This window comes from Homo sapiens, chromosome 8, assembly GCF_000001405.40.
Source record: "Homo sapiens chromosome 8, GRCh38.p14 Primary Assembly".
Taxonomy (NCBI): domain Eukaryota; kingdom Metazoa; phylum Chordata; class Mammalia; order Primates; family Hominidae; genus Homo; species Homo sapiens.
This window is the reverse complement of record NC_000008.11, coordinates 29,662,627-29,672,268: the sequence shown is the minus strand read 5'-3', so window position 1 is coordinate 29,672,268 and position 9,642 is coordinate 29,662,627. Positions and strand designations below refer to the sequence as shown.

Genomic DNA, 9,642 nt, shown 5'->3' with positions numbered 1-9,642 from the left:
TAGGAGGCACTAATGAATATCACATTCCTTTCCCTTTTCTATTTTATGCTTTCCATACTTGATATTATTTAATGATAGAAATGTTGATGAAAATAAGGAATAGTACACCTCTCACACTTTCTATATTGAGCATGCATTACTCTTAACACAGAAAAAATAAAGCACAAGATTAAAATAGTGTTTTATTTGTAGAGTTTTGGTCTGAAAGAAGTTAACAGGTCCTTAGTAGTCACTTCACAGCAGAAAATCAAATGAGGGCTTCCCAGCCACACAGAAATGTTATTTTAATCTGATGTTCAGTGCCCTTCAGTTGCTAGTTAGACCCGCTTAGACTGAAACAGATGCCACAAATGCAATGCTATGTTCACCACCCAGTCGCTTTCCAAACACAGGGTAAGGATTCAGGTCACTGTCCCCCATCGACAAAAGAGCTTGAGCATCACTGTCATTGCTTCATGCAGTCACAGCCCCGCTGGGAGGGACAGCCATGACCCAGGCAGGTCTTGCCGGTATCGGTGGTCAGAGACCAGGGACAGAAGATGCACTGCCTGGAGTTGTCTTCTCCCAGGCAGCGTGCATGGCTGCCTTGCAAGCACAGGCTTGCCCCATCCGAAGCTCCATCTTTGCTCAGGCTCAGAGAGGAAAAATTTGCCAGCTGCGAGTGAAAAATGTTCAGACCTCGAAATCTTTCTGCAGCCCATACTGGGTCACACTTGCAATGCCCAATACAATTTTTGGCTAAGAAATGCTTGTAATTCAGAGATAAACCTACGATTGCAGGTTATATCACGGCGAGGAAAAATTTGCTTTCCAGAGAAATATCACTTATCTCAGACTTTTTAATTCCTCTGAAAAAAATAGGGGTTTAAGAAATGGTGGCTCAGCTATGAGTTCCATCTCCGGTTACTAAGGCTTATGTTCTGTTACAGGCTCAATTTTCCTCCCTAAAAATGACATTGAAGTCCTAACCCGCAGTACTTCAGAATGATTACATTCTGGTGACATCTCTTCAGAAACAGGGTCTTCTTAGAGGTAATCAATCTGAAATGAGGTGACTAGGGTGGACCTTAATCTAAAATGACCAGTGTCCTTTTAAAGAGGGGAATTTTGGACACAGAGGCAGACATGCCGAGGAGGAAGACAACATGAAGAAGCACAGGAAGAAGACGGCCATCCACAAGCCAAGGAATGCTTTGGCCAGCAGTGCCCAACCTTTTTGGCACCAGGGACCAGTTTCACGGAAGACAATTTTTCCATGACTGTGGGTGGGGGAGGGGGAGTGAATAGTTTCAGGATGATTCAAGCACATTACATTTATTGTGCACTTTATTTCTATTACTACTACATTGTAATATGTAATGAAATAATTATATAACTCACCATAATGTAGAATCAGTGGGAGACCTGAGCTTGTTTTCCTGCAACTAGGCAGTCCCATCTGGGGGTGATGGGAGAAAGTGACAGATCATCCGGCCTTAGATTCTCATAAGGAGCATGCAACCTAGATCCCTAGAATGCGCGGTTCACAATAAAGTTGGCACTCCCGAGAGAACTGAATGCTGCCACTGATCTGACAGGAGGCAGAGCGGTGATGCGAGCGATGGAGAGTGGATGTAAATACAGATGAAGCTTTGCTTGCTCGCCCACTGCTGTGTGGCCTGGTACTGGTCTGTGGCCCAGGGTTTGGGGACCCCTGCTTTAGGCTACCAGAAGCCAGGAGTAAGGCCTGAAAAAGATGCTTCCCCAGTGCCTTCAGAGGAAGAATGGCTTTGCGAACACCTTGATTTCAGACTTCTGGCTTCTGTAGCTGTGAGACAATCCATTTCTGTCATTCTTTTTTTTTTGAAATGGAGTCTCACTCTATCGCCAAGGCTGGATTGCAGTGGCACGATCTCGGCTCACTGCAAGCTCTGCCTCCCGGATTCATGCCATTCTCCTGCCTCAGCCTCCCAAGTACCTGGGACTACAGGCGCCGGCCACCACGCCTGGCTAATTTTTTTTTTTTGTTTTGTATTTTTAGTAGAGATGGGGTTTCACCATGTTAGCCAGGATGGTCTCGATCTCCTGACCTCGTGATCCGCCCACCTCGGCCTCCCAAAATGCTGGGATTACAGGTGTGAACCACTGCACCCTGCCACATTTCTGTTCTTCTAAGCCACCCAGTTCATGGTACTTTGTTATGGCATCCCTAGGAAATGAACATGTGTGCAGTAGAGCATTTTCCCACTAAAAGGTAAAGACATCCAAGTTCCACCTAGACAATTACAGGGTTGCAAGACTCCTGGACAGGGGAAACAAACCAAAGAAATCGCTCATTGGAAATAGGTGTGACCAGATTTGGTGCTCTTCCCATAATGTGGGCTGGGGCACTTGGTTCTGTCCTCACCTTCATGTACCTTCTGTTTTCTATTTTAACAAATAAATCTCAATTGCTTAGGGTACTCAGTTCCATGATGTGTTTGTTTTTCTGCAACTCAGCTCACCCTCTCCTCCTCAGAGAGGCAGACCTAAAGTTCCTGAGAACAGGGCACCCATGTCAGAGACTTGTGGAAGAGGGACCAGGTCTCTGGGCTTCTCTGCTTCCTGCTGGATTTTGCTGTTTTCTCTAGGGCTCTGTTTAATGGTGCTGTGCCGGGAGAGTGATTTCTGCACTATCTTTCTGGAATTGGGAGGGGCACAGAAGCAGGAAAAGTGAATTCCAGGAAAGTTGTTGCATGTTGGAAGCTGTGTTGTGGGGAAGTGACAAGTTGCTTGCTATCTGAATGGGGATGGGATCCTTTGTGAAGGCAGCATGAATCACCAACAGGTAGGATTAGATGGATGATGGTTGTATTTGGAATTGTAGCCACACCCTTGGGACTGCAGCCCTGTGAAGACTGAGGTTCTGACGAAAGTCAAGAAAAATCTGCATTGCAACTCTTCGAAGAGAAGAATGTGACATCTTGGTAAGTACAGTCAATAGCTCTGTCATTTTTTAAAAAGTGTGTTCTTAAAATGATTTTTAATAAGAGTAACATTGAACCACACTGGAGAAAATAGGACAACGAAAACGAAATGGAAACAAAATCATTCATAATTCTAGAACCCTAATACAACTTCTCAAATACAAAAAAAAGGAATCATTAAATTGAATATTTTCATACAGTTGAATTTTATGCATTTAAATGGAAATTGTAAAGAATTTTCCATTTAGTTGTGATGAATTTCTGATGATATAATACATATTTATAATCTTTAAGCTGTACAACTTAAATACATAAAATTTTTAACTGTCAACTATAAAGCTGGGGGGACTCTTTATGTAAATATTTAGTAAACATGTTTTCCTAAAGAATCAGAATATTAGATTCTGTGTACTGTGTGACCTGGGAAAGTATGCTCAGAAGGAAATACACCAAAATACAGTGGGTGAATTTTACTTTCTTCTTGATAGTGTTTTAAAATTTTTAGAAATGTTTTGCAATGTCTTAAAAGTGACCTTCTACCCAGAATTTGGTTAATGTTCAGTTTTATTTCCTTCTTATTTTTCTGAGTATTTACTTTTTCAATTCAGCTGAAACTTTTCAAGAATACCATGACCTTTCTCTCCTTTTAAAAAAAAAGTTTCAAACAGACAATGTTAAAACAGAAGAAGTTTTGGAAATCAACTACTTAATCTATTATGATATGGAAACTGTAAACTAAAACTGTTCATATCCACTCCCCAAGATTACATCAAGAGTGGCAGGGCTGGGACACCAGAGTTTCCGGAATGGCTCCTCAGGGCTCCAGCTGCAACAAACTCGCTGTGCCAATGTGCATGCAGTTCCTGATTCTAATCAAATAAGTATCATAACCGAGTTCACCCGAAATAGAGTATACTGCACAGAAACTTAATAATGGGTGAGAAAGACACATTCGTGACATTAGCAATTATTACCATACGTGGTCAAATCCATTTTTATTTTCTGTTTTCTCATTTTGTGAGTCCTCTGGGATCTACACACAGGTACCAATTTTTTGCCTATTCCTGGCACCGCGCACTGCTTAATCATCCTCCCCACACTGACTTTGTTGACCATGCTCGATTGTCAATACCAATAGTTCTCCAGGGGTGGCTCAGATACCCACAGGGGTCCCTGAGATCCTTTAAGGGGTCTGCGAGATCAAAACAATTTTCATAATACTAAGATACTGTGTGCCTTTTTTATTCTCATTCTGTCATCAATTTACAGTGTCGTTTTCCAGAGGCAGCTGCATAAATCACAGGAGACTGAATACAGGAGAAGATGTAAGAATCCAGTCAGCTTCTATCAAACCAGACATAAAAGACATTTGCAGATATGTAAAACAATGCCACTCTTCACATTGCATTTTTAAAAAATATTATTTCCCAGAAAATATATCATCTATGTTAATATGGAATGGGGTTTGTTATTCTTATTTTAAGTAAGGTATTATATAAATATTTTTAATGTCTCAGTTTTAATTTCTAATGAAGTCAATATCAATAGATGTAATCTATATAAACCAAAGTTCTCCGGGGTCTTCAAGAGTGTAAAGGAGTCCTGAGATCAAAAGGGATGAAAACCTCTGCCCTACCCTGGCCACCTAAGGGGCTGAAGCCCTCCAGGAGCAGTGCTCCCGGCTCTTGCTGCTGCCCCAGAGCTGAGGGTTTTGGAGCACTGGTGCCCTACAAAACGGAGAGACTGGAAGGAGTTTTCTGGGTCATGAGGTTGGAACTGCTGGCAGAAGATCACAGCATAACTTTCTTCTGGGTTATAGGAAGAAATATATAAGTAGAAAAATATTTTAAAAATATATAAATATGTACAAAATATATGATATATAAATATATTATACGATATATAAAATATCTATTTTTATATATTATATAAATATTTAATATTTATATAATATAAAATATGTATAAAATTTGATAATATATAAAATAAATATAATACATAAAATATATTATATTTAAAATATATTATATATTTTATATATTATAATTTATGATACATAAAATATATTATATTTTATATATAATAGAAATTTATATATAATATATAATATTTTTATATAATATATAATATAATATATTTTATATATTATATTATATAATATAATATATTTTATATATTATATTATATATTACATTTTATATATAATATATAATATTATATATAATATATTATATATTAAATTATATATTATATTATATATTATATATATTATATATATATTAATTATATATTATTATATTAATTATATATAATATATATAATATATATAATAATTATATATTATATATTATATTATATTATATATTAATATATATATAATATATATATTAATTATATATTATTATATATATTATATTATATATTATTATATTATATATTATTATATTATATTATATATAAGATATAATATATTATATAATAATATATAATATAATATATAATATATAACATATAATATAATATATAATAGTTAATATATTATCTTATATATTATATATTATATTATATAATAATATGTAATATAAAATATATTATATATTTTTAAATCATATATAATATTAATATACTTTAATATATGCCATATATTTTATAAGTATATAAGGTATATAATACATTAAAATATAGAAAATATACATCAATATGTTATATATAATTATTTCCTATAAATTAGTATGTCTATATATAAATATATTTCCTATATTTTAATATTTAATATATGATACATATTATATATGATATATTATCTATGACATAAGTATATTGCATATAATTTATATCATATATGATATATGTATATTATATATAAATGTGTTTCCTATATTTAATCTACCATATATAATAACTTTAATATTTAGTATATTAAATATTTAATATGTAATATTAAATATATTAAATATTACATATTAAATATTTAATATATTAAATATTACATATTACATATGATAGTTTACATATTACAGATATGTAATATCTGTAAGGTAGATAATGTGATAGATTAAATATTACATATTATATATGATAGATTACATACTACAGAAGTAATTATTAAATATTACATATTATATGTGATAGATTAAATGTAGGAAAAACCTAGGAAGAAATATATAAGTAGGGAAACATTGAGGGAGTGAGAAGGTATTTGAGAGCCTTAGGGAAGAAGAATGGAAAGGGAAAACTGAAGAGAAAAAAAGCTAGAATAAAATTAGGCTGTTGTCTTCCCTTTACTCTGTTTTCAGGCCTAAAATAGACAAAATAGGCGATCACTGGTTTATCTTTAGCACTGATATCTGATGCAGTATGACTTTGGGGTATAGAAAAAGGCTTCACAACCCATGGAAATATCTTCCCAAAGCATGTAATTCTTTAATCTAGGACAGAGCATGTCATCAGACAATGAGAGATAAGCAACTATAACAAAAATAATTTCTATGGAGAGTTTACGTGTTGCAGAGGAGTTATGATCACAAGCTTGGTTGCATGTGAGAATCACCAGGGAGCTTGTAAAGATCTAGAAGCCTAGGCCCCGGAGGCAGAACCAGGCATGAGTATGTCTTAAATCTCCCCAGATGATTCCAATGTGTGGCCAAGATTTAGAACCACAAAACAAGGAGACAGGACTCAAGATCGGAAGTCACACCTGGAAACAGCCAGGGACCGTTATTGCCTGGAGACAAAGGAGATGTGAAAGGGATCCCAGCAGAGCAGAAGGCAGAATTCACACCTTGCCTTCTTCCCTGATGCTTCCCGTGGGAGCAGCTGGGCGTTCTCCAGATTCTGTTTCCTCCCAGCTGAGCCTTTACTTAGCAAGCCCACAGAGGGCACAGCCCCAGACGATGAAAGGAGAGAGAACTTCACGGTTTCCTTCCCAGCTCTTCAAATCAACAGTTTTGGTCACAGATCAGACTGCTAAGTCTTTACACATCCGAAAGTTAGACTTTGACGTGCTTGTTTTTCTTCCCCTGTCTGACTCACAGAATGAGTCATAAGGAACCTTGTTAATCTCCCCTGGACTCAGGAAAGCAAGGGCACAGGCAGAGGGCTTCCTTTCTTGGCAAGGGTTGGGTTGAGGCTGGATTCAGAGCTGCCTCCACCCTGGCACTGTGAGCTGCCTCCATAACTTATTTTTTATTTTTGTGGAGACAGCGTCTCTTATTCTATCACCCAGGCTGGAGCTGGAGTGCAGTGGCATGATCTTAGCTCACTGCAAACTCCACCTCCCAGGTTCAAGTGGTCTTCACACCTCAGCCTTCCAAGTAGCTGAGACTACAGGTGCATTCCACCAAACCCCAGTAATTTTTGTATTTTTTTTTGTAGAGACAGGGTTTCATCATGTTACCCAGGCTGGTCTCAAACTCCTGAGCTCAAGGGATCCCCCTGCCTTGGCCTCCCAAAGTGCTAGGATTACAAGCATGAGCCACTGCGCCTGGACAACATAACTTATCCTTAAACTTCTGCCCCACTCTCTGGCGGAAATGATGGCCGTGGATCTGTGGACACAAGACACCAGGGATCTGTGGCCGGGGGTATCCACTGATTTCTCTCTGGCATCTCTGTCTCCCAAGGGATCTGAGAACACTCAAAACTCTTAGGCTCCAGCAAGCTTTTGGCTGAAGGATCATGCCCGCTGGACCAGTATGATCCAATGAGCTAAGGGTCTTAGCAACACATAATTCTGGAGCAGGGATGCATCTTGAAGTCTTACAGAGAAATGCATCCTCTAGGCTGTTTCCCTAGGCAGAGCAACAGTGCAACATCTGGCAGTTATATTTATTTCTGCCCCCTGCATTTAAAGGAGAGAATGTGAAATTTCTGCTTGCCTCTCTTGGCGCAGCTATCAGAGGTTGCTTACGTCCTAATGACGTCCTCCAGGGACAAGTGTAGAATGGAGTCCAGAGGGGCCAGGTGACAAAGTCAAGGTCTCCAGCACCCCTTGCCATATGCCCAGACCTGACAAAGGGAAGGAGGAATTCACAAACCATCCACTCATTTTTTCCGTAACCATATACTGGATACGAAGACTCAGGATGGGATGTGCTTTTGTTCCAAGGAGCTCGGAGCCTATGGAGGAGCAAAACCTTCACGGTGCAGGGCAGAGAGGGCAAAGCTAGGGATGCCCCCAGGTGCTGTGGGCACAAAAAGGAGGGAGTTAACGTGATGCTGGGGAAGACTGAGCTCATAGACTGTGAGTCAAATAAAATAGCTTCAGGGAAGGTCAAATAGTTAAAAATGTCAATGATGTTGACCCTCTCAACCCAAGAAGAGGAAAAGCAGGGCAAAAATCTAAATGAGTGGTCCTGTCACCGTTTAACATTAAAGCTAAAATTGGTTGTTCCCAAGGGGCTGAGACAATTCTAGTGCCTTTTCTCATGCCCGCCCCTCCTGGCACCAGGGTGCCCACCATGGGAAGGCTGGACTCCTCCTCTCTGGGACTGGCTGCAGCTGCTTCTTTCCTGGGGCTGTTCTGTCTCCTCAGTCCAATCAGGATCGCCCATCCCGGCCAGCTCTATCCATTGGCTCCGAGGCCACTTAGCTCTCTGACAATCACTAAGAAACAAGACTACATCTTTTTTCACTTTTTGCTTAGCATTGAATGAGGAGCTCTTTGTGCATCCAGTAAATGCGTAGTAAGAAGATACTATGTACCAGGCACCGTGTCGTGCTGTTGGAGATACAAGGGTGAATTAGCCATGGCCCCTCTTGAGCTTAAAGGCAGGCACACCTACTACAGACTGCAGCACAATGACAGAAATGCTGTGAGGACACAGAGTGGGGAGCAACTGACTCAGTCCTGAGAGAACCAAGGAAGACTTCCTGGAGGAAGTGATTTACACCCCTGGGTTGAGAGAACAATAGAAGCTAGCCAAGTAGAAAGGGGAGAAGGGGCAACACTGGGCGGAGGGAATAGTGTGTGCAGAAGACATTGCATGCATGTTTGAAGAACATCTTGTTTGCAGAAAGTGCGTACAGCATGTGAAATAGCAAGAATTTTGATATACTCTGAAAGGAAGTGAGTTAGCATTTGGGCGTATTGTATAGGGCCTTGAGGAGATGTCATTGAGTTTTATTTCATTCTATTTTAGAATATTTCTATTTTACATCCAAGCAGTTCATGCCCATAGTTTAAAAAGTTTAAAAAGGTACTTTCCCTGCCCTTCCCACCTGACTAGCAACCAGGGCTCCCACCTGACTAGCAACCAGGGCACCCACCTGGATGAAAGGCAGCCACTTCAACTCTTCCCTGCCTCCCCATGGCATTCTCACATTGCTGTTCTTGACTTTTCACTTTTAGATAGTGCTACAGTCTGAGTGGTTATGTTCTCCTAAAATTCATATGTCAGAACTCTAATCCTTAAGAGATGGTATTAGGAGGTGGGGCCTTTGAGAGGTGGTTAGGTCATGGGTTTGGAGCCCTCACGAGTGGGATCAGCACCTTTAAAGAAAGCATCTTTGGGAGGCCAAGGTGGGCAGATCATTTGAGGTCAGGAGTTTGAGGCCAGCCTGGCCAACATGGTGAAACCCCATCTCTACTAAAAAAATACAAAAATTAGCTGGGTGTGGTGGCACATGCTTGTAATCCCAGCTACTCGGGAGGCTGAGGTAGGAGAATTGCTTGAACCTGGGAGGTGGAGGCTGCAGT

The 9,642-nt window shown here is 39.2% G+C and overlaps 1 long non-coding RNA gene across 1 annotated transcript, besides 1 other annotated feature; it reads left to right on the top strand.

The window, feature by feature from the left end:
• Positions 2,600 to 3,799: an enhancer, noted in NCBI's record as "MED14-independent group 3 enhancer chr8:29525986-29527185 (GRCh37/hg19 assembly coordinates)". NCBI's record gives its function as "activates an origin of replication core promoter dependent on BRD2, BRD4, P300/CBP and CDK7 cofactors, and independent of MED14, by STARR-seq in HCT116 cells {active_cell/tissue: HCT116}" and the evidence as "EXISTENCE:reporter gene assay evidence [ECO:0000049][PMID:35650434]".
• On the top strand, positions 2,908 to 4,404 carry LOC124901926 (uncharacterized). The gene is made up of 2 exons (XR_007060879.1): positions 2,908 to 2,945; positions 4,215 to 4,404. It is a non-coding gene; the product is annotated as an uncharacterized LOC124901926 (long non-coding RNA).
• The last annotated feature ends 5,238 nt before the right edge of the window (positions 4,405 to 9,642 follow it).